The sequence below is a fragment of the Homo sapiens genome, chromosome 4 (assembly GCF_000001405.40).
Source record: "Homo sapiens chromosome 4, GRCh38.p14 Primary Assembly".
NCBI lineage: Eukaryota > Metazoa > Chordata > Mammalia > Primates > Hominidae > Homo > Homo sapiens.
Genome location: NC_000004.12, coordinates 25,862,298 through 25,887,433, shown reverse-complemented (window position 1 = coordinate 25,887,433; position 25,136 = coordinate 25,862,298). Strand labels below are relative to the sequence as shown.

At 46.0% G+C, this 25,136-nt stretch overlaps 1 protein-coding gene and 2 long non-coding RNA genes across 11 annotated transcripts in view, besides 3 other annotated features; 2 read left to right on the top strand and 1 right to left on the bottom strand.

Moving 5' to 3' along the window:
- The window catches only part of LOC102723733 (uncharacterized), a 44,562-nt gene that overhangs the window by 18,255 nt on the left and 1,171 nt on the right, over nt 1-25,136 (bottom strand). The window lies entirely within an intron of this gene.
- Nucleotides 8,521-8,600: an enhancer, noted in NCBI's record as "active region_21380". NCBI's record gives its function as "activates an Ori minimal core promoter by ATAC-STARR-seq in GM12878 lymphoblastoid cells {active_cell/tissue: GM12878}" and the evidence as "EXISTENCE:reporter gene assay evidence [ECO:0000049][PMID:35858748]".
- On the top strand, nt 17,360-22,226 carry LOC124900688 (uncharacterized). The gene is made up of 3 exons (XR_007058092.1): nt 17,360-17,448; nt 17,665-17,723; nt 22,028-22,226. It is a non-coding gene; the product is annotated as an uncharacterized LOC124900688 (long non-coding RNA).
- Nucleotides 23,868-25,136, top strand: part of SEL1L3 (SEL1L family member 3) — a 149,603-nt gene continuing 148,334 nt past the window's right edge. For 4 of the 9 annotated variants that reach the window (XR_007096387.1, XR_001741182.3, NM_001297594.2 and 1 more), the window contains exon 1: nt 23,868-24,000. Coding sequence is in view for 3 of the 9 variants with exons in the window: in NM_015187.5 (NP_056002.2) it covers nt 24,598-24,759 (162 nt within the window). In the remaining 6 variants the exon portion in view is untranslated. Of the gene's footprint in view, nt 24,001-24,445; nt 24,760-25,136 lie in introns of those variants that run through there. The other 5 variants (XR_007096388.1, XR_007096389.1, NM_015187.5 and 2 more) reach the window with 2 other exon arrangements.
- Nucleotides 24,213-24,372: a silencer, noted in NCBI's record as "silent region_15327". NCBI's record gives its function as "represses an Ori minimal core promoter by ATAC-STARR-seq in GM12878 lymphoblastoid cells {active_cell/tissue: GM12878}" and the evidence as "EXISTENCE:reporter gene assay evidence [ECO:0000049][PMID:35858748]".
- Nucleotides 24,423-24,882: a silencer, noted in NCBI's record as "silent region_15326". NCBI's record gives its function as "represses an Ori minimal core promoter by ATAC-STARR-seq in GM12878 lymphoblastoid cells {active_cell/tissue: GM12878}" and the evidence as "EXISTENCE:reporter gene assay evidence [ECO:0000049][PMID:35858748]".

Sequence of the window (25,136 nt, the reverse complement as noted above, 5' to 3'; positions counted from 1 at the left end):
TTTTTTTTTTTTTTTTTTTTTTTTTTTTTTTTTTTTGAGATGGAGTCTCACTCTGTTGCCCAGGCTGAAGTGCAATGGAGCGATCTTGGCTCATGGCAACCTCCGCCTCCTGGGTTCAAGCGATTCTCCTGCCTCAGCCTCCCGAGTAGCTGGGATTACAGGCACCTGCCACCACGCCTGGCTAATTTTTGTATTTTTAGTAGAGATGGGGTTTCGTCATGTTGGCCAGTCTGGTCTCGAACTCCTGATCTCAAGTGATCTGCCCACTTCGGCCTCCTAAAGTGCTGGGATTACAGGCATAAGCCACTACGCCCAGCTAGGCATTGTTCTTAAGGATAAGGGAACTGAGGCAGAGGGAGGATGAAATGATGTCATTCAGGTCACAGAACTAAGACTGGGTGGAGGCAGGACTTGAACGCAGGTTGTCTGGACTGGGGCCCAATGCTCTGAGCCCACTTCCACCTGGTGTTTACAGAAGTCCAAGGAAGAAACTAAGGGCCAAACTAGGTCAAGAGGGGAGGGAATGGAGCAGGCAAAAGTGCCCGAATGTGGAGACAAGCAAGAAGGAGGCGTCCTGCTGGGCCAGGCTTCTCTGGCTGATCCAGTATGTCACGGGCCTGAGCTAGTGGCTGTGGGCACAAAAGACTTGTTTCCCCTGGCAGAAAAGAATTCCTGGCTGCTACGGGCAGCAGGTTTTTCATGTGGATGATTGGAAATATTTACAGTGCTGCAGGAAATGCTGGAGGAACAGCAGGTCTGGTGGACTGAGTGTGGGACAGAGGGGATGATCAGCTTGGATGAGTTGAGCTGGAGATGCCTGGGGCATAAGTAGGTGGAGGAGAGTGGAGAAAAGAGTTTGGGCTCTGGAGCCAGGTGCAGAGTTGGGAGTCATTGCGATGGGGGCTGAAACGGGGGAGACTGGAAAGAAATCATTCCCTCTGCTAACAGGAGTTGAAAGGTTCACCTGCTCAGAATGGAGGTAGGGGCAGAGCGCTTTCTCATCTTTGAACTCTGCGGTGGACAGGGATGGGGGTCATGTTCCTGGGTTCCGTGGATCCTGAAGAAGGAAACAAGGTTATTTCTGAAATGGGTTATCTGTGTCATTGTATGATCTCTCTTGTCACACACACAAGACACATACACGCCAAAGATCATAAAAGATGTATTTTTAAAGCCCCAGTGTGTACATTAACTTACATAGAATAACCTGATTAGCTTTGAAGGCTGTTGGCTTAAAGAGAATGAAGATTTCCAAGTAAAAGCAGAGGAGGAATGCTCGATGTCATTGAGAACTCAAGGAGAATTTCCTTCCAGTGAAGTCTCAAAAAAACCAAAGGAAGAAGCAGCCTCTGATTATATAATTTCTACCTGGGCAAGTAAAAATCTTTGATTATCTATTTATGTCCTGCCAATTCCAGGGCCCAGAGGAAATCAATCCAGTCTAAAAGAAACTAATTTTGACCACCTCTCCTTTTCCTCTCTCTTGTTTCGTGGCCTCGTTAACCTCGAGGAGTGCTTCAGGCTAATGTGGGAGTCCACGTAGGCAGATTCTGGAGGAGCAGGCGAGACCAGAGAGGAAGGAACTGAGATGCAGGGAAAGAAACAGTGATGCTACTGCCCAACCAGGGATTTGCCAGCCGAGAAGATTCTTTTTGTTTGTTATGGGTTTTTTTTTGTTTTTGTTTTTGTTTTGAGATAGGGTCTTGCTCCATCACCCAGGCTGGAGTGCAGGGGTGCAATCATGGCTTGCTGTAGCCTTCACCTCCTGGGCTCAGGCAATCCTCCCACCTCAGCCTTCAGAGTAGCTGAGACTACAAGCACACACCACCATGCCTAGCTAATTTTTTTTTTATATATATAACAGATATTACTTCTTGCTATGTTGCCCAGGCTGGTCTCGAACTCCTGGGCTCAAGTGGTCCTCCCACCCTGGCCTCCGGAAATGTTGAGATTACAGGTGTGAGCCACTGTGCCTGGCCTGAGAGATTCTTATAAGCTTAGTGTTTCCCCAAGAATTCTTGGAGTAAATAAGGAAAAATATATGAGGCTGTCTGAAGTTTTAGAGGGAGTGAGGGTTCACCACTCACACATTTTAGAGGGAGTGAGGGCCTCATAACTGCACATCTGCCCCCCCCATCCCTAGTTCTGTTTGCCCTGTTGTCTTACTCACTCATTTGCAGGAAGAGCAGTATCTGGAAAGTGGGTGCTGCTGGAAACCTGAGGATGTGGCAGACTTCAACTCATAACAGGGTGTCCATCTCAAACACACATTTGACCTTCTCCTTGGATAAACAATGTAGAAGTAGGCCCGGGGACACGTGTCATTTCATGAACCTGATCTTGCCCAGATTTACTTCTATGAACGATCTTCGAACAGGCACTTTGAAAAACTGCAGCCATACTTTGAGGCCACTGGGATCCCACTGCATAGATTACCCCTTCAGTGTTCTAAATGGAACTGGGGATCAAATCAACAACATGTAGGAAATGTATTTAAAATGGGAAAAGGTGTAACATGGTCTCATATCTCATAAGAGAATGAGATTTTCATGAGATGTCTTTGAAAGAGAAAATGCTTGTACAAAACACACAACAGCTGTATCAACTAAAACAATTATCTTTTGTGATTCATAGGGCGCATATCACGTAGGTAGAGCAGAGATTTGTGTATTTATCTCTGAACTTGATTTGATTTTAATATTATTCTGTCACTTATGCACAGTTCCCAAATGTCTTATCAGGAAGAGCCAGTTATTAAGCCGCTGAAAGTGTCTTATAAAAATAGCAGACAATCTAAACTGTGAATCATTCCACGGAGCCCCAGTGGTGTGAGCACAAGCAGATTCTGCCATGAGTTAAACAATTGTGCAAACGTGTGCTCCACATCCTGTCTGTGCCTGAGTCAGTGCTAACCCTGGGGTGAACGAAGATTAATGAAGTGTAGCCTGTGTCTGAAAAGAGTTCACATCCCAGTGAGAAAGGAGCAAACAGATTTTTTAAATACTATACACAAGAAGGTTAAACTATTGGAGATTAATTAGAAGGGGTCACTCTGAAGTTGTGTTGATGAAGTATGGTTCTGTACAAAGTGCTATGAGAACATGGAAGAAGGAAAATTAAGCTAACCTGAGGATGCCTGGCAAACTTCAAGGCAGAGACATTTGAATGGTCCCTTGAAGGATGAGTAACAGTTTGAAAGCAGCAAGGGAGTTTTTTTAGCAGGGGGAGCAACACGGAGTAAGGTTTGGAGGCATGACTCTGCACAGCTAATGAGGGATCAGAGAAGAGCTTTGTATAGCTGGACAGCATGGTGTATGTGACAGGGACAAGGGGTGAGGCTGGGAAAGAAAGCAGGAGTGTTTGGGCAGAGCCAGTGTGAAAAGGAGCCCAGAAGATTCTCAGGTTAGGAAAGGTGCAAGGAGATTGGTGTTTTACATGGATTCTTCTGATGGTCTCTGAGCTGCAGAGCAGGGCAGCTCAATGAGGGCCATCTTTAATATGATACATGTTGTTGTCATTGTTTTACTTACTAACTCAGAAGATTAGCCCATTTCCTAATGTCCTTTGCTTAATGTCAGGGAGTGATTACACTTTAAAACGGAGGTTGGCGAACTATAGCCATATCAAATTTGGCCCACCACCTATTTTTGTCAATAAAGTTTTACTGGACCACAGCCATGACCATTCATTTCATGTTATCTATGGCTGATCATTGCACTAGGACTGACTTCACAGCAGAGTTGAATAGCTGCAACAGAGACAGATGCACAAGACCTGAAATATTTATGATGTGGTGCTTTACAGGAAAAGTTTGCTGACCCTTGACTTCTGGTTCTCCAAAGTCATTGCCAGACCAGAAACTTGGAAGACAACCTGGAAGCTTTGCCTCATTACCTTCTGTACTGCTTACCTCTGCCTTTATCAAGTGGTCAAATTCAACAGCTCTCACAAAGTCAGTTGTGGAGCATAGGGTAGAGGATCACATAAAAAAAAAAAAAAGAGAGAGAGAGAGACAGAGAGACAGTGAGTTCTAGAAACCGGGCAAGTCCTGTCAAGCCACTCCATCTCTTCTCTGCAAGAGTCCCCATGTATGAGGTCAGCAGCCTTCCATGACCCCAAGTATACTGACTACAGCAGCATTCAAGAACCTTTTTATCATATTCTCATTGGCAGGACAGAACTGATTAGGTAGTTGTGTTAGTCAAACAGCTGCCCCCACAGCATGCGCATGAATAGGTTGACATCAATCTTAGGGAAATATCTAATGTGCTCCTATAAGACTGCAGACTTACTTCTGTCCTGTTTGGCATTCTTACTGGCATACATGAACCAGAAACCATGTTTCTCAATGCGGAGTTTGCCCATAGCGACAGGATGGAGGATGGCTAAAAGTGGCATTGATACGTCAGAATCCATGTTCCAAAGAAATCTAGATGAACTAGAGTAGTGGTCAGAATGTACTCTCTGCCACAGAAGCAGTCTCTCCTAAATGAAGAATGTGGGGCTCTAGCAAAATATCTGATATTTTCAGATCCTGGGGCAAGAGTACAAATGGAGACCAGCCTGCCATACATCCAAATATCTGGAAGTTATAAATCAAGTCAACAAGCTAAACAAAATGGGTCTTATCCTCCTACCTTGACAAATAGAACTTCTTCACCACCTGGAAGTCCAGGTTCAAGATCAGAATTCTCTGACTCCTTGGAGTCTTAATGCTGTAACATGGCAGCGTGGGAGAGCAGCCCCTCGTCCCACCCCACCCCCAACTTTCAACCCTTATTTCTGTTTTCTAGCCTGCTCCTGGATTGCTCCGTAATGTGTCTCCAGTCGCTTCCCCTTTACTGAACACCAAAGATGTCTGTCATTTGGTGCCATTTGTTTGGCTCTGCTCTCCAGCTTCTCTCTTTAACTCCAATTCCTGTCTCTGATTAACTTGTTTCTAGCTTCTTCAGGCAATCCCTGCTCTCATGCTTATATTTGGCACAATCCCCAGAAAATAATGTCCCTGATGGAGTCACCCTTGGGCTTGGAAAAACAATCTGGTCAATTGCCACCTGCCTTCCAGCTCCTGGATCTTATATGATAATCCCTGACCTGCACCTTAGATGAAAACTGCTTCTTCCCACTCCCGCCACCCACGCCAGTGGCTCTTGAACTTAAGCACAAAGGATGACCACATATTTCAGCAAATCTGGGGCAGAAGTCCCACCGACAAGCAATATATTTATTTGAATTGTAGTGTTTTTATTTTCAAAAGGTCACATGCTTTAGAGAAAATGTTTTAATCATTGAAATATTATTTATGTATAACGTACCTTCTAAAAAGTACACAGAAAATAAACATACAGCTTAACAAATTATCACAAAATGTATAACTTCCAGATAAACAAATGCTTCACTATCTTCTCCCCAAAGGAAACCAACCATTCTTCTGACTGCTAATACTATTGTTTGGTTTTGCCTGTTTTTGAATTTTATGTAAATATAATTAAGCACTACAGATTCCTTCGTATATGATTTCTTTCATTCAGCATAATGTTTGTGAGATTCATCTGTGGTGCCATGCGTGGTCTTAGGTCACTCGTTTTCATGCTGTATAGTATGCCATTATATGAGTACATCAACATTTGTTTATACATATCACTGTTGATGGGCGTTTAAGTTGTATCCAGTTGTTGGTTATTCTATATAATCCTGCCATGAACAGTCTTACAAATATCTGTTGGTGCACGTGAGCATGAATTTGGGGCCATATATATCTAGAAGTGAATTACTGGATGATGGTTTTACATATTTCAACGTATTTCAACTCTTTGATAGTTCAAAGACCTTGGTTGAACCAACCTGCACTTCCATCTCCAGTCTATGGGAATGCTTTCTTGTTCCACATTTTCAGAATTTTTTTTAAATTCTTCTCCACGAGACAGTCATGTTCATTTCCATGTTGAAAATTTATAGAATTTTTTTGCCAAAAAGGGGAAATGAATCTTGTGGAAGATGTACCGAGTTTATTCCTGTGCCTTCAGCTGCCCCAAGTTGGAGTTCAGTTATCCATCAACCACATTGACCTCTTGGAGGTTCTTCTTTCGGTTTCTTGACTTTCTAACCTTTTGCTAAACTGTTTACCACTTATGGAACAGCGTACCTCCTCTGTCCAGCATGGTGCCTGCCATCTTATTGACTGAGTCTGAAGACTGATTCACTGCTGACTTTCAATCCATTTTGAAAAGACAGCATTTATCTGGATAATGTTACTTTGATTAGAGGTTCATCTGATTGTGGCTTTGACTAGTGCCTAAGTCCTTCCAAGGTAACAGACCATGCACTTCTTTCATATGTACTTCCATCACCTGAAAAAATACTTGAGACCCCACGGGGAGCAATCAGTATTTGCTAACAGACTGCCTGGCTCAGTGTAGCTCAAAATCCATCTTTATTTTTATATGATAGTTTAAATGATTTAATGAGTGGCTGTCACTGACAAGGCACTTGGGGTCTGTGCATAAAATGACACAATAATATAAAAATAAAGCTTTGCTCAGAGACTAATACACAGAACTGCCTTCCGTGTACATATTGCTCTTTATACTAGAGGAAACAATTCTTCCTTTGGTCAAGTGGAGTTGTTTTCATTGATAAAAATACGTAAATCCACATTCTCTCCTACTGCTTTATTTGAATGCTTACAAAAACAGGCATCATATATAATATTCATTTCAGCAAGAATATGCAGAAAGTGCTGCATCTCTTTATTTAGGAATTTTAAACATTACAGTCATGTTCATCATGGTGACTGTGGGCTTTTATATCTAAGACAGACTCATTTCTCAAAGTCATATTTAAATATCTCAAATGGTAGTGTTGGCCTCTTGGGTATTGCACAACATACAACTGAAGAAGGAAGGTTAACCTCTCCAGAAAAAAAAAAAAAAGTAAAGAAACGGTGCAGCTGTGGATATTTCACGTTTAGAAAGCAGCGGGGACAGGGGAAAGAAGAACAGAATTCTAGGGGAGCCAAGTTTGCAGTGAGAATCTGGATGTTGGCCTCATCTTAGAGCAGAGTGTGGGAGTTGTTCTCTAACTTAATGACGCTCTAAGTGAGGTATACACTTTTTTCTCAGTTCCGTGTTTTATAGGCAAGATTTCTCTTCTGTTCCTTTCAATAATCTAAACTGACAGTCTGAATGGTTAGCTGGACCCAAGCACACGCACAGTTTCATACCTGTGACATTGGCCCAGGTTTTAGATCTTAGGATAGTTTCATTCATTCATTCATTTGTTCTTTCATTCACTTGTTCATTTAAAAAAATTAAATGGCCAGGCAACAAATACGTACCCAGTACCTACTATATGCCAAGTGTTGTGCTTGGTGCTTAGGATACAATGATATGTCATAGCCAGACATTATTTAATTAAGTACACAACTGTAAAAGTGCATCAGTGGGAGTGCTCTGAAGAAACAAGTTGGTGCAGTGGAAATGTGTATTAGAAGGATTTGCCTTATCAGGGAGGTCTGGGAAGTGTCCTTGAGGAATGATGACTGAGGAAGTGATGATCTGTATATGAGCCAGTGCCTTACCTAAGTGAAGTGGGCGGCGGGAATGGAAAACAAATGAAAACAGCTCGTGCAAAGGCCCTGTGGTGGGAAAGCATAATGCACACAAGGACTGGCATGAAGGTCAGTGTGGGAGGATGGGGGAGAGCAAAGGGTGTGGGCAGGGCCTTGTGGGCCCTTATGGAGTGTTGTCCTTTTCCTAACAGCAAAGTGGACCCACGTGGAAGAATCAGTGGAGGACTGGGAAGGAGCCAGTTTTTCGGGGTGGGTTGTGGAAGCATACTCGGAAGCATACCGGAAAGTGTTTTAGAATTTCTTGTTCTTGCCTCAACAGAGTCCCTGGTTGGCATCTTGACTCAATTACAGGTGTCCCCCAATAGCTGTTGGCTGCCTAGCCGGCTGGTCTCCCAGTCCCGAGTGGATAATGGGGAGGATGCTGGGGTGGCGGAGGGACACACTCCAGTAGTCTGGCTCGGTTCTCATGTCTGCATGCAATGAACAGCCTGTGCTTGCTGCTTGCAGATCCAAGTGTGTTTAGCCGTAACAGTCTGACAGGGAAGCCTGGTTTCAACTTTAATAGAACACAAGGCACCCAACCAAGTTGGCATAATCTCTCTCCTGAGAGGTGATGTGTGACCTTTGCGTGCCGGGCCTTCGATTTACAACCAGGATTAAATATAGATAAATTTAAAATGTAAATGCTCTTGATTCCATTTATAATTCTAATAATAAAATACATCATAATAGCATTTTCATACTCCAGATATTCAACATTTAGAGATTTAAAAGGTCTGAAAAAATCTTTTTGGGTCAAGCTATTGTAATTCACAGCATGCTAAGATAGCAATAAAACTCGTAGGGGCAGAACTGGGGGCCACGGGGTAGGAAGGGGGAAGGAAACTGTCCTTATTATTAACTGTGATCGTCACAGAGCTGGGTTTCAACCTTGGCACTCGTGACATTTTGGGGCATGTCATTCTTGGTTGTGGGGGTTGCCCTGTGCCTTGTATGATGTTGAACAACATCCCTGACGTTTATCCACCAGATGCCACTAACACACACCTCCCCCATCCCCAGTTGTGACAACCAAACGTGTCTCCAGACATTGCCAAATGTCTCCTGGGGGATAAAATCCCCCCGACTTTTGAACACTGTGTAGAGGATGCGTAATTAGTACACCTGGTATAGAAGGTTTTGCGAAATAAAAACAAGCATTGCCAATAATTCGAGGATTGTTTTAAATAAGAAAAAAGTTCTGTACCATGTGGTTAGAGGTTTTCGACCTAAGATCAGTTTTGCTTTCCAAACTATTGAAAAGCCTAGCATGTACATTAAAATGCCTCCATTCCAGCCTCACTAGAAACTCCCAGCTGAGGGGCAGACCTCATTTCATTCAGTGAGGAAAGTGGAGCTTAGGATTCTGCAAGTCAACTTTTTAATTTAAAGTTTGAAATGCAAAAACAGCTTTGCTATTTCTTCATCTGCAGAGGAACAAAAAAGGAAACGGTTGTTTGCTCCCTGTGCTCTTGAGACTTTAAATATTTCTCCTACCTCAGTTTTGGTGGGAGATGGGAAGGTATTAAAAGCTAGAATAGAATCATTTGGATGCTTAACTGTAGTCTGGAGGAATTGGAAAAGCTTTGCAAAATTTCCCAAGAGAGTGAAGCTCTCTGACAGGGGTCAACTGCCCGGTGTCTTCTGCTCGGACAGAAATCACCATCCAACTGGGGCTGTTGCAAATGTGTGGGCTGAAGATACTCAGCTTCCTGCCTTTTTGCCATGCTATAGGTGTCTGACCTTGAAAAATGGCCAGATCTCCTTGGATCTTCACGGTCTTTTTTTTCTGAAAATAAAACTAAAAGCAGTCGCTGAATCCCTGACCAGACTGTGGTGAGGTTTAATGAGATTGCAACTGGGGGTCCGGCATTATGGTTTGAGGAGTGTGACTTCACCTTGAGGCTATCAGGTCTTTCCCAGTATTTGGTCTAATTATTTTTCTTTTTTTATTTTTGAGACAGAGTCTCACTCTGTCACCAGGCTGGAGTGCATTGGTGCAATCTCGGCTCACAGCAACCTCCGACTACCTGGTTCAAGCGATTCTCCTGCCTCAGCTTCCTGAGTAGCTGGAATTACAGGCACGTGCCACCACGCCCAGCTAATTTTTGTATTTTTAGTAGAGATGGGGTTTCACCATGTTGGCCAGGAGGGTCTCAATCTCCTGACCTTGTGATCTACCCGCCTCGGCCTCCCAAAATGCTGGGATTACAGGCGTGAGCCACCATGTCTGGCCTATTTGGCCTATTTCTTTTGGTAAATTGGTTAGGTCTGCAGATATTTCTTTTATATAATTGGAGATGCAGGATGCTTCACAGAAACACTAAACACCATAAATTTAAGTCTGGTGAGTTGAGATTAGGTATTAATGAATTTGAACCCATTATATAGATAGATGTAGAGATATAATTCATATAGCTATAGATAACATATGTAATAGATATTTTTATGTAGATAAGGATATGAATCTTTGAATAGATTCATGATGAGAATAATAAAATATTACCTAAAAATATCACTAAAACCATGGCTTACAAGATTTGAAAAAGCTTTTGGTATTTTAGATTAGAAAGTATAAACTATCTACTGTCTTCACTGGGGCTGCTCTAATGAAATACCATAGACTGGGTGGCTTATAAACAACAGAAATTTATTTCCCAGTTCTAGAGGCTGGGAAGTCCAAGATCAAGGTGCCAGTAAATTTGGTATCCGGTGAGGGCCCACTTCCTGGTTCACAGATGGTGCCTTTTCACTGTGTCCTCACATGGTGGAAGGGGAGGAGAAAGCTCTCTGGAGACTCTTTTTATAAGGGTACTAATCCCACTCATGAGGGCAGAGCCTTCATGACTTCATCACCTCCTGAAGGCCCAGCTCCTAACACCATCGCTTTGGGGAATGGATTTTAACAAATGAATTTTGCAGAGAAGGGACAAAAACATTCAGACCATAGCGTATACTAAAAATGTGAATGGAGTTAGAAAACCTTAGTTGGTCAGAAAGCTCTAGAGAAAAGTCCCCCCAGGCGGCCTGCATGTGTGTCTTGTGAAGGAGAATTTACCTACAGCCCCTGAAGGAACACAGAGAGAGGGATCTTGTTTTGTCTTTGTGGCTCGGTGCTACTTAAAGCAGGAGGATTAAGCAGGAAAATGTCAGTTGGTTTATATTAAGGCTAAAGACTGATCCCTGACTAATGTTGAAATTAGCCAGCTAAACTTGGGTTAGTCCAAAGGGTAAAGAAAGTAATAAAATAAGACCAACATCTTTTAAACTGGAGTGTGATTTGGGAACTTTCCAGTGGCAGTAGCATGGGGTGTCTGTCAGGAAGAGGGCAGGCGGATGAAGACCCGACTCTCAGAAGTGTCTGCGCAATAAGCTGTAAGACTTTCATCCCTGTCCAAAATTGATACCAATAACCCTACACACTTGTGTCGTTTGCAAAGCACTTTCTCGGCCACCATTTCAAATAATCCTCAGGACAATCCTGAAAGTCGCTACCATTATTTTCAATGGATAAAGCCAGCTCAGAAGGGTCAAGAAGCTCAGAAGGGCCCTTACTCAAGGGCCTTTGATTGATAATTTGTGGAGTCTAGGCTAGAAGCAATCTACCCCACATGCCAAGTTCCTTATCTTAAAAAAAAAAGGAGAAAAAATTCCCCTAAAAAGGTAGAATAAAATAAATATAGAAAGCAGTCAGGAATCCAGGTGGAGAGTTAAGAATCAACAGAGTAGTTTCGTTTGCTTTTTAAAAGTTTCTTCTCTTCCACCTCACCACCCTTCCCTCTATACTTTCCTGACAGTGGTCTTGATGTAAGTTCGTTTTTCATTTTAGAAAGATAAGCCTGGCATGGTGGCTGTGCCTGTCATCCTATATACTCAGCAGGCTGAGGTGGGAGGATCACTTGAGCCCAGGAGTTTGAGACTAGCCTGAGCAACATAGTGAGATCCTGTCTTCACATTTTTTCTTTTCTTTTCTTTTCTTTTTTAAAAAGCCATGTATGGTGGCTATGCTTGTAGTCCTAGCTACTCAGGAGGCTGAGGTGGGAGGATCACTTGAGCCCAGGAGTTCGAGACTGCAGTGAGCTGTAATCACACTACTGCATTCCAGCTAGGGTGACAGTCTCATAAGGGAAAAAAAAAAAGATTTAAAAAACCTCTCTCCAGCATTGAAACTTCCTGTAGGCTAGTTGACCAAATCTCAACATTAGCTGCCAGGTTATGTGTGTCCAAGCAATGCAGGTTGTGGTTTTAATTAGCATGATGTCTCCAAGGATTGTGTCTGTCCTCCTGTGTATGGCGATTCCAATTTACTGGTTTTAAGATGTGGTGAACAAAAGTCTGTTCTTGTAATTGACCAAGGGGATGTAGGCCACGAAGGTGTGAATCTTAAGTACGTGACCCCCTAACTCACGCTGAAGCCATGCTCACTGCATCTGAGCAGGTGCCGCTTTCGCTTCTTGTTTTTTATTTTTAAATTTCCTAAGTTTTGTTTGGTTTTTACCTTCCCCTGATTTGGCAGATGCGTTTGTACTTTTTGGAGAGATATTTATACCATTCGTGTTAAAGGTATTTTTTTTTTAAATGGTGTCCTGTCAACAGTACATTGAGGATACAATTTAGGAACTCAAAATGTGTTTAAACACAACTTAGCAAATGTTATGTCTCATCATTTGGCATTTGGCCTCTGCAAATTCATTTCATTTAATGCCATAACCAATATTCCTGATTTGAAATACTTCCTTTTATCTTGAAGGCAGTATTTTTTTAAATGTACCCTGTTTGACTTTCTTCTAATAACATCCCCCCCTCAAAATATTCTTGATTGCTACAGTCATTCATACCTATTTATCTCCATCTATGTATCCTCATTATCTATCTATCTAAACAAAAACTGCTTCTTCTGGGAAGGTGCTAAGACAGAGCCTTACAGTACTAGGCCCCCAGAGAGATCATTTGCTTGTGGCATCAGGTAAGTTACAGATGGTCGGTCTCTCCTCTCCCAAGCAAGACATCTAGTTGTCACCTGCCAATCTGCTTAACGAGTTATAGAGTAACTCTGCTGCCTCTCCACTTCACTCAGATATGAGAGAGTTAATTATTTAAAATGTTTGCTAAGCACATTGGGTTCCCTAGAGAAAGCGTGCCACATAAATATATATAAATGAATTATTAATTAAAGTTTAAGCAGATTAGTTGGTGAGTTCTTCTTTAACTGCCCCATTTTCCTAATGAGGTGTTTTGAAGTTACTATCTAGATTTGGTATCTTGCCCCTCCTTCTTTCCAGTGACTTCTCCCTCTTCCCCTCCTTATTTTCCTTCTGCTTAATTCTCTTTCCTTTCTGTCAGCCCTGTCAGTGCCTACCATATTGTGGGCACTCAGGCAATCACAATGATTTAACGCCAGATCTATAGGTAAAAGCCTTCATTAACTTCAACAGGCATCATAAGCTCCTAGGAACTCTAGGGTGAGATTAATAATTAGATAATGATTCTAATGTGCTAAGAAAATGAGAAGCCAGGCTCATGAAATGCTGAGCGTGGTGTGGTTATCAGCAGTAGATGAAACCCTTGTTTACCGACCCCTTTTCCCTGATCTGTTTCAAGTAAAACGAGAGATCCCAGATAGTTTAAAAATTAATATAAATCAAATCAAACCCCTCCCACAATGCCGACTCGTCTCTCATCAGCCAGAACAATACAAAGAGATTGCAATTTAAGAGCCGGGTTTGGAGGTTCGTTGGATTCTCTTTGAGGGAAACGTGGACTAATTTAGATCGAGTATGAAGGAGCAGCATAATTGCTTATTGAATGTTGATGTCCAAATCCTAGTTATTCCTTTACCGGAGATTAAGGGGAATTAGAGAACAGTTCACGTCCATCCTGCTAAACCTGACCCAGTTTATTTACACTGTAATCTTACTTCAGAGCATGAGAAGTAAAATGAGCTGCTCTTATCAATTAATAGCTGAAGAAAAATTTAGATTTCAAGTTCAATGTAAGAGCTACTTATTCCAAAGCACTACAGAAATGAAGAGGTGCTTCCTTTTAGGCCAGGAGCTGGGAGGGGAGGGAGGAAGCGCTGAAGAGAATTTGTTTTTTCCTTCCTAAGAGTTTGAATTACTGTGCAATCTTGGATTTTCTAGTGACCTGTGTGAAAGCCCTGGGGCTAAAGCAGACCTATAATGGATCTATTTCTGAATGGTTCAGCAGTATTGGAGTTTAAAACAGCAGTCGTGAAACCTGCATATAATGAGGCCAGTGCTTCCTTCTGCATCCAGGAAGCCATTGGCCACCTGTACTTTGAGAGAGCCCGCATGGCCTCTCAAAGTACAGAAGGGGGCAAGCTCCTCCTTGGCCCACTTCCACAATTCTCCAGGGTAGCCAGTCCTATACTTAGCAGACACAGAAGTCGCTCTAGGGATATGAGATAAACGGTCAGCTAAAGACCCTACACTTGCTCTCAAATCTTCCTGCCCTGCCATGCCCACCCCACCTGCAGCACCACGTTCCACTATTAGACATTCACTTCTCTGAGTTAAGCCGTTGTTCCACATTCAAATACCTCTGCGAGGTACATTATATTGTGTTTACCAGTCATTAGTAATTCAGTACAAATATTTGTTGTTTGTTGGATTGACACATAACATGCATTGACAAATATTTGTTGTTTGTTGGATTGACACATGACATGCATTGATCAGAGGCAGGGAGTGGGAAGCTGTACTTGAGTGCAAGGCTGCCTTTCTACTGGCTGCCCCACTCCTCTGAACCTCAGTGTGCACACCAGGAAACCAGGGCGTTAGATCAGCAGATGTCCAACATCACTTCCTGTCCCAGCACTGTGTATCTCTGATAGTTGTGGGAAGGGGCACAGATACAACCATGGTGATGGGTCGGGGGGGCGCCTAGATATGAGGATGATGGCGGGAGCCTGAGACACAACAGAATGAGCACGGAAATTCATGAGAAGGCTCGGGAACTTTGAATTGCTTTATATCAGCCTGTAGCCTTGGGTCTAGGCTGCAGAGTTCAGCATAGAGCCTGGAACCCAATAAGGGCCCAATAACATTAGATGGAAAAGGACGGGAAAATAACAACTATCTATGTATTCGTTTTCTGGGACTGCTGAGAAAAATGAACGCACGCTGGGCAGTTTGAAATGAGGAAATTTATTGTCTCACAGTTCTGGAAGGTAGGAGCCCAACACCGAGGTACTGGCAAGGCTGTGCTCCCTCTGAAACCTCAAGAGGAGCATCCTGCTGCCTATTCCAGGTTCTAGGTGCCCCAAGCACACCTTGGCTTGTGGCATCCTGGCTCCAGTCTCTGCCTCCCATGGCCATCTTTTCTCTGGCTCTTCACACTGTCATACCCTGTGTACGTGTCTATGTCCATGTCCACATTTCCATCTTCTTCTTCTTCTTTTTTCTTTTCTTTTTTTTTTTTTTGAGACAGTCTCACTTTGTCGCCCAGGCTGGAGTGAAGTGGCACGATTTTGACTCACTGCAACCTCTGCCTCCCAGGTTTAAGCAATTCTCCTGCCTCAGCTTCCTGAGTACCTGGGATTACAGGTACATGCGACTATGCTGGCTAATTTTTGTATTTTCGGTAGAGACAGGGTTTCACCACGTTGGCCAGGCTGGTCTCCAACTGCTGACCTCAAGTGATACACCAGCCTCGGCCTCCCTAAGTGTTGGGATTACAGGCATGAGCCACCGTGCCCGGCCCCAAATTTCCATCTTCTTATAAAGACACCAGTCATATTGCGTGAGGGTTCACCTTATGCCTTTTTGTTTTCTTTTTTTCCTGAGACAGAGTCTTGCTCTTTCACCCAGGCTGGATGGAGTACAGTGGCACGATCTCAGCTCACTGCAACCTCTGCCTCCCAGGTTCAAGTGCTTCTCCTGCCTCAGCCTACCAAGTAGCTGGATACAGGCATGTGCCGCCACACCCCGCTAAATTTTGTATTTTTAGTAGAGACGGGGTTTCCCCATGTTGGTCAGGCTGGTCTTGAACTCCTGACCTCAAGTGATCCACCCACCTCAGCCTCCCAAAGTGTTGGGATTACAGGCTTAAGCCACCATGTTAGGCCCACCTTATGACTTTATCTTAACTTGATGACACCTGTATGAACCCTATTTCCAAATAAAGTCACATTCACAAGTATTGAGGATTAGGACTCTGACATATCCTTTTAGGGAACACAGTTCAACCCATAACAGCCTACTTCACAGAACTGTTGCAAACATGAACTGAAATGTGAAATGTCTTGATGACTGGAAAGTGTTTATGCAAACGTAGGAGAAGGAACTCAGCTGGGATTTGAGTCTGGCCCTGTCTCCCAATGATCAGGCTACCTGCAGACTCTCAGCATAGAAGCCTCCAAAGCCCAATTTAGGGGTGTGAAGACTAATGAGGGAGAAAGAGTATAGAAAATGAGGTCAAGTCATGAAAGACAAATTTCATTACCTTCAAAGAGTTGCCTGGGCCCACTGTGGGTCCCAAGTGAGGGAGGTGACCGCAAATACCCCATGTGACAATTTAGACGTCCTAGGAGACCAGCCTTGCCTGCTTATTGATGCCACACTGTAGAGAATGGGAATCACTGATTCCCTCATTTTTAGGTCTTTTATTATCAGACTGTGAAGGTGCTGTTAATGAAAAAAAGCTTTAATAAGCACCAGTAATGCATAAACACCACACTACGCAGAAGACAGACATGGTTTCTGACATCCCAGAGTGTGGGTTCTAAGGGACACCCGGATAGCCATGCATGAATTTTATATATTTTTTTCCTTTTTTGTGTGGGGTGGGGGAGTGGGTAGCATCAGGGAAGAGTTGCATTCTAATTGGTTATGAACCACAGGTCTAAATTTCAATTCTGGCCTGAATAGTAATTTTTCCTGAAGGTTTGAATAAATCATCCAATCTGCTTCGGTTTCAACTATTTTCAGCATTTCTATTTTAATCATTAATTCTGACTGCTAAGGACCCCGGAGTCACCGAGCCCGTTTGCGACTTAATTTGGGATGGGAATGAGGCAGGAGGAGAGGATGTGCTGAGAACCAAACAGGAGAAAATGGGCTCGACCTGGAGTTTTGAAAGATTTGGGCCAGATACAAGGGATGTTTTCTTATTAGTGATAGCTGTAATTCTTTGTTTTGCTCTGGCAAGGCGGATTATAGAATTTGCACAAATAGTTTTGGTGAAGATAGGAGAAATTCTCACGTAAGGAAGATGGTTTAATTTTCATTCTGATGTGACTGCAAAGAGACAGTTGGATGAACCCTGCATTAAGGTAAATCACAGAATCTCAAGATAATAAATGCCTATAATCCATTCTACTCCCCTTTTTGCTTTGAATAGTAAGAAGCTCAGAGCTAACTATACTGTCCTGTTAAAATACTCAGGGCACTGTTTCAGTTATCTATTGCTATAAACAAACTACCCTCAAACTTACTGGCTCAAAACAACAATTTATTTTTATCTTCCATGGTTCAGTGAGCTGACAGGACTCAGCTGGGCACTTCTTGCTTTCAAATTCTCATGCAGTTTCAGTGGGATGGTGGCTAGGGTTGGAGTCATCTGAAGACTCAACCGGGACAGATGTTCAAGATGGTTTGCTCATTCATGTTTGGTACCTGGGCTGGGCTGACCTGGATGGTTGAAGGCTGGCTGAGCACCTCTCTCTCCATCCACGTGGATAGCTTGGGCCCTCTCACAACATGCTGGTAGCTGTATGGTGGCTGACTTCCCGGGGAAATACTGAGGAAACACTTCCCTTAGGGTCATAATGGGAGATGTGGTTCACGAGTGGGGTCATCATTAGAGACATATCACCACAGGTATTTATAAATCTTTTTAAAATTTTTCATGGTCTTATAAGAGCTATATCTTTCCTTGTGAGCCTTTTTTGGAAGTTAGGAAATATGAATAATACACAAACAATGCTTTATTCTTGTCTAGGGCTCAACAATTTACCACCACCCTCACTATGCTACCTTACCTGGCCTTCACAACACTGTGTAAACAGGTAGATTAACTTTGTCCCATTTTTACAGACACAGAGACTGAGGACTGAAGATTAGTGATCTTCCCAAGCAAGCCCAGCTATGATGAGGTGGGTTGCCCTGGACAAATGTGTCTGACATAGAAATCTATGTTCTCAAGCACCTGGTGAAGTGCTGGCAGAGGCCTAAACCTAAAACTCAAATGTGACCCCTCCCCACCAGCATGCACCTGGTTGCCTCTCCATTGGCCCTTCATAGCAAGTTTGGTGTAGTGACACGGGCACTAGTCCTTGAGCAAAATTACCAGAATCCAAACTGGCTCTGCCACCTCCTGGCTGTGGGCCTGGGATCTTTCCTACGTCTCTGTTTCTTCATTTGTAAAATGAGGCTGATGGTAGTAACAGTGTCTACCTCTCCGGGTTGCCAAGAGAATTACATGAATGAAGGCCTCAAAGTAATACTTGATAAGAACTCAAAAAGAAACCTCTCCGTGAAAAGCTGTAGAGGTAAGTGGCTACTAAGAGGACCCCGTTCTAGCTGCCTCTTCTCTGTGTGTTTCTTGATTTTATATGGACTTTACTAAGCATCCCAGCTGATCATGATGTTTCATTGTGCTCGATATTACATAGTATCAGGTGGACTAAAAGCCCGAAATCAATGTTAATGCCTGCCCAAGATTGCGATTTGAGCTGCAGAATGCAGTTATAAAATATGCCTATGACTTATAGGCACAACCTGCCTTTCCCCAAGCTCTCATGTGCACTCACTCTCTTTTCAATTATTTATAGTGACATTCTCTCCCTCGGTGCCCATTCACTCTTCTCTTACTCATTGTCCCAACTGGATATGCACATTCACCCCTAACTTCTCTCTGCTTTATTCATTTTTCAAACACATGTTCTTCTCAACACCCTCACTCAAAGATCAAAGATTGAAGATGTGCTTACATCTTTTCTTCTTTTTCTTTTTCTTTTTTTCCAGGAGTCTCGCTCTGTCACCCAGGCTGGAGTGCAGTGGCACGATCTCGGCTCACTGCAACCTCCGCCTGCCGGGTTCAAGCAATGCTCCTGCCTCAGCCTCCGGAGTGGCTGGGACTACAGGTGCACACCACCATTCCCAGCTAATTTTTTTGTATTTTTAGTAGATACGGGGTTTCACCATGCTGGCCAGGCTGGTCTCAAACTCCTGACCTCATGATCAACCTGCCTCGGCCTCCCAAAATGCAGGGATTACAGGCGTGAGCCACGGCACCTGGACCCCAAGATGTCCTTACATCTATGGACACATGCCCTTGATCTTCTGCATCCTGTGTACTTTCCTTCCCCAAACACCCAGTATACAGGGACTTCTGTGGTCGCTGAGCCTGAAATCCCTGCTTCTTATCCTGATACCCCCCAAGGATGGCAGAAGTTTCTGCAACTATGGCGGTGGGGCAGGATGCAGACCTGGGTATGAATAAGGAGGCCCTGGACATCTGGTTGCACCTGCCTGGAAATGTTCAGCTCACAAAGCTTTCCCTCAATGGCCCAAGAGAGCCAGAGAATGGATTTCCCTGCTGCCCACCTGGACACTGCACAAATAAGTCGTGCGCTGTCCAGAGAGCTTATGTCAGTAGCTGCTGCTTAAGGGGGAAAGCGCTCCTGACACAGGGGAGGGCTTGGCTAAGGGAAGCTGCCCGCTTTTTCCCCCAGCTCAGGGTGGGGGAAAGAATTGAGCTGAATATGCACCTATTCAGAAGGGCAAAGAGCCAAAAATAACCAGGAGCAACAGCATTTCATCTGACAGGCCCAGAAATAGAGCTCATTTTGGAGCATGCCTGGGCTACAAACCGAGTGATTCCAAGACCTTCAGCATCCCATAAAAATACACGGAAAAGCTTTCAGTTTACACAGATGCTTCCTTTTCCTCCTTTACCACAACTTCCCAAGGCAAGGGCTCTGTGGCCCATAGGGAAAGAGTCTGCAGAGTCAGGGATTTGAGGCTCAAAGGATGGGGTCTGAGGATGAGGAGATGAGGCTGGTATCTGATGGGATGTTCTATGGAAGGAAGAAGCAAGAAGTAACTGTTAAACATGGAGGATTTGAAACAAGGAGAAACAGAGACAGGAAATAGATTTAGGGAATGTAATGGCTAGGGGGCCACAAGAAAAATGGAAATACTGCCCATAAAACAATGGCATGCAGGATTTGTCTAGATCCCAGAGGTCACCTTTGGCAGAAAGAAAGACCATGGTTTTCCTATTGGGATGGGGAGTGTGTTGCCTGACAGCAATCTTCTATTTTTGCTTTCCTCTCTTCTATTTCTGCTTTCTTCTCTTTTATTTTGATATAAAAGGCAAATGTCACGGTTCATTCATCTTCATTCTGAATAACTGAAATTACAGGAAAGAGGGAGGGGGAAGAAAGGAGAAGACTGCAGAATTACAGAGAAACCTGAGTGTGGAAATAACCATGTTCTAACAGGAAGAGACTGGGGAGACAACAATGAATAAAAAAAGAAAAGAAGGAAGGGAGGGAGGAAGAAAGATGGAGAGGAAAAAATGAAAAAGGAAGATGTTGGATTCAACTTTATTCAGTGAATATGTCAGAAATGTTCTATGTACAAGGCATGGGGGTACAGAGAAACGGTTAAGAAATAACCCCTGCTTTCGGGGGGCATATAGTCTACTGGAGGAGAACAGGCCAACTAACATACCCAATATAAGGCAGAGTTAGCCAGTGGCCACTTAGGATTACAGGCAATGCCTGCTGGGGGCACAGAGAACCGACCCATTGCGTTTCGACCTGAGGCCATGAGGGAAGATTCCCTAAAACTGGCAGCATTTGCCTCGGCCTCAAAGATTTATGTGGGAGGGTAAGTGGATGGAAGGAACACTCTCTACTCCTGCAGAATGCCTTCCTACCCACCTCCTGTAATCTGGAGGTCATTTGTCTCCGCAGGGGCAGATCTCTTTGCCCCAGACATCCTTAGTATATAGAAATGTGGTTACCAACTGCCGACATGGACAGGGCCACTCCAAAGGTAAGTTTTTACTGATCCACAGCAAAATGCAACATATAAAGACAAGACGGAAATAAAATATTCAGATTAAAGAACAGCTTGTTTTTTGTTTTTTTTTTTTTTAAGACAAGGTCTCACTCTGTCGCCCAGGCTGGAGTGCAGTGGTGTGATTAGACCTCAGTACAGCCTTGACCTCCTGAGCTCAAGCGATCCTCCCATCTCAGCTTCCTGAGTAGCTGGGACTGCAGGCACACACCACCACACCTGACTAATTTTTGTATTTTTAGTAGAGACAGGGTTTCACCATGTTGCCCAGCTGGTCACAAACTTCTGGGCTCAAGTGATCCACCCGTGTTGGCCTCCCAAAGTGCTGAGATTACAAGTATGAGCCATGGCACCCAAACCAGTCTTTTCTTAGGATGTTAGGCCCTTCCTAATTTTTTGATGGCAAAAGGCCTTGTCTTTTTAATGAAATGATACTGACAGAAGATAGTATATGCAGTTGGTTTATAAAAACTATTTTTGCTTGGTAAAGTAATAGTTGACCAAGTGCATTGGTCCCCGAGACGTGACTGATCTTAAACCATTTTGGGCCAGGCATGGTGGCTCACGCCTGTAATCCCAGCACTTTGGGACGCCTAGGTGGGTGGATCACGAGGTCAGGAGTTCAAGACCAACCTGGCCAACATGGTGAAACCCCCATCTCTACTAAAAATACAAAAATTAGCTGGGCATGGTGGCAGGTGCCTGTAATCCCAGCTACTCTAGAGGCTTGAGGCAGGAGAATAGCTTAAACCCAGGGGGTGGAGGTTGCAGTAAGCTGAGATCACGCCACTGCACTCCAGCCTGGGCAACACAGTGAGACTCCGTCTCAAAAAGAAAAAAAAAAGAAAAAAAATTTCAGAGTCTCAGAACATCTCACCTGGAATGCTATGATGTGCCACCTAGGCATGCAGATGCAGTCCTTTCTCCAGCCCCTCCCTCCAGGCCTCTGAAGTCTCCTCCTAGGGGCGGGCCATGATGAGCTCAGGACTCTGTGCCTTTGTCCTTTCCCGTGTTGAGGTGTGGAATTGGTCCCTTTCCAAGGGCATGTGATAAACTGACTCACACCAAGGCAGTAATAAGGGAGGCCAATCTCCCCCTGGGGCCTTCGACTTTTAGTGGAGTATTAAAACTTAATTTAAACTGATGAATTGTAATGGTGAGATTTCAAGCCCTTCCATGGGACAATGGGAAGATATATTTCTTTTTAAATAAAGGGCTTTCTTCTGAAATCAGACCACGCCCTTTCAATGACTGACACAAACTGCTGGAGAGACGCAAAAGTAAGAGCTGATTCTGTCTTCTGGATCAAAACGTCCCACTCCCCCGTGAAAAGAAATCTTGACTTTTTCTCTCCCCCTCTCCAACACAGGATGAAGCAGTTAATCCCACCACCTCTAGCTCAGGATGAGAGAGCAACTCACACATCCCTCTTAGAAGACCAAACTCTGGCCGGTTTTCTGCATGCCTGGTGCTCCTTGCAGAAACAGAGCCTTCCTGCCTACCTCTGGAATCCTGGGGCCTCAGGTGGTGCCCAGTCCACAGTAGGAACACAATAGGAGATGAGTGAGTAGGGGAGAAGTGAGCAGTTGGATATGGCAAGTTAGAAACAGTCCAGCCTCCAGTGGGGCACTCTGCTTACCTACACTTAGGTAAACCCAAATCCTCAAAGCTCACAAGGCCTTGAAAACTCCCAATTCCATGAATCCTGATTACAAACAACCCCGAGGAACCATTTAGCTCCCCGAAGACCAACAGAATCTGTGTACAATGTGGGAGGAGAGAAACTCCGGAGCGTGGCCCAGGAAGACAGGTGGCAACCCTAGAAATGCTGCAATGCCTGTTGAAGCCCCTTCCCCCTGAACTGGCCGACAATTTTCCTTCCATATACATTAAAAGCATAGTCTGTATTTTGACCTGATGGAAAAGATATAGACAGGATCTGGGACAAAGCCACCAAATCTTTTGTTCCCTTGGACACTCGATAGAATAAATGTTTTCCACGTCACACAGAAGAATGTTAAGTGCTTTGTTTCTGCAGAAGTGGAACAGAGATAGTGGGAGCATCTGTCAAAACCCCCAAAATGCTTTAATGTGGTGGCAGCTGGCTGGGAGGAGCAGGAGCCCAGTTCCCTAAAAGCCAATAGTTCTGGAAATGGAGGAGGGCTGTTTGAACCAGCGCGTTAACATCACCCAGGAGCTTGTTAGAAAGGTACATTCTCAAGTCCCTCCCAGGACCAACTGAGTCAGAAATTCTAGGGCTGAAGTCCAGGAATCTGTGTTTTAACAATCCCTCCAGGTAATTCTGAAGTTTGAGAACCGGTGGAATAAGGCCAGGGAACTCACACAAGGCCACAGCTCTTAGGTGACCTAAAAAAAAGTGGACGACAGCTGAGGAGCCACCATGCCTGGTGTGGCCAGGCCTGTACTGAAGCAGCTGAGGGCGCGTCCACGCCCGTCAAACCATCCCGGGCACCCCGTCTCACCACCAGCCTCTCCCCGACGTCTGTTGTGACTTGACCTATGCTCGTGGCACAGGGAAAGGGCTGTGGCCTCTCAGGCTCCCAGGCTATTATTAGTTCCAATCCGCACAAATCTACCAGTGCTAAAGGGAAGCTTCTGCGAACTTTGGAAGGTGGATTAACTGTTTCAGAGCAGCAGCTGCGGGCCCAGATAGTTGTCGGAGCCGCTAGACACAGCCAAGCGCTTCCCTGAAAGCCAAGGCCGGCGGCGAGCTGGTGGTCCCGCCGGCCGGAGGCCCCTCCCCGCCAGGCCGCAGAACCCGGGTCGGAGAGCAGCCAGTCTCAACCTGCGTCCCCAAGGCCGAGGATGTGTCCTGGTTTTTTAAAAAGCTGTTTGCGCACTTCCAGGGCCTCACCCCTTTCATTTGGGGCTCCAGTATTACTGTATTGACCTAATTAATTCATTTTTTTCTCAGTCCAAAGTGGAAGCCGGAGCACAGGGATGCAAATCAAATACAAACCCGTCCTGGGTGCCAATACTCTGGACAATTAAAACAAAGAGCGCAGTGGTGGCGGTGGCGGCGGCACCACACAAAACCCTCGGGAAACATCCAGAACGTGCCGCGAACCAGCCGGCAGGGTGGGGCGCAGCCCGGCTGCAAACATGCCAGCAAGGAGGCAGTCCCAACCCCGCAGGTGGACAGGTGGAGGTTGGCAGGGGTCAAAATCCATCCTGAAGGCCTGGGAGCCGGGCAGCTGCGCGGCACAACTCCAGGGGGCACACTCGCCCTGCGCCCTGCGGGAATGGCGCCCCGGCCAAAAAAGCAACCAGACAAAAACCCATTGCACGGGCGGGAACTGGTCTGTGCGACCCGCAAAAGGGGTGGGTGGGAGAGGAAGAATGCGGAAGCGAGGAAGAGGATGGGAAGGGAGAAAGAGGAAAGGGAGGAAAAGGAGAAAGTGAAAAAGAGAGGGGGTTTGGGAGCGCGAGGGGAGAAGGAAGAGGGAGCCGGAGGGAGAGGAGGGGGATCGCAGAGAGCAGGAGCGCGGAAGGGGGGCGGGGGAGGAGCAGAGAGAAAGGGAAAGGGGGGTGCGCCGGGGCCCAGCGACCCGGGCGGGGGGTGGCGGCGGCCAAGGGGCGGGACCCGGGTCGGTGCCCACCTGCGTGGGCGCCCGCTGCTCCGAGGGGTGGAAGCCCGGGGGCCAGAGGGAGCGGCCGGGAGGAGGGCTGGGCAGGGAGGCAGAGGGGAGGGAGGGGACGGGGACGGGGAGGCGGGGAGGAGCCGGCGCTCGGCTGGGGCTGCGGGGGCGGCGACGGCGGGAGCGGCAGTGGCGGCGGCGGCGGGTCCGGAGGTGGCGGCAGGTGGCCCCGCGCGCGGCGGCCGGCCCGGCCGGGGGCGGGCGGGAAGGTGGCGCCTCGGGCGGGGGCCGGTCCCTGCACCAGGTGACCTGTTCCGGCCCGGATCCGGGCGGCCTCGCCATGCAGCGGCGCGGCGCGGGGCTCGGGTGGCCGCGGCAGCAGCAGCAGCAACCCCCGCCGCTCGCGGTCGGCCCCCGGGCCGCAGCCATGGTCCCGAGTGGCGGCGTCCCCCAGGGCCTCGGCGGCCGCTCTGCCTGCGCGCTGCTCCTGCTCTGCTACCTGGTGAGCGCCGGACCCTGCCCGGGTCTTCCCCTCCGCGCGGGGCCCCGGGGACGCGGGTGGGGGCGGCCGGGGACACCCGCCACGCGGGGCGGGGACGCCGCTGCTAGTTTTCTCTCTTCCTCGTCGCTGCGCCCCGGGCGTTCCCGGCACCTGGGATAGGTACCCCGGGCGTGGAGAGGGGCGCTTGGACCGGACTTGCCAAGCTGCTCTCTCGCTCGTGCTCATTCCTTTCCCTCCTGGACTCTCTCTAGACCCGGGTCGGGTTACCCTCGAGACCCCTTCTTGTCCTCGACTCCACCCGGGAGCCTCGCCGCCCGGAGTTCGCTCCCCGCCCCGCCGCGCGCAGTCTCCAGCACCCCCCAACCCCCCACCCCTCC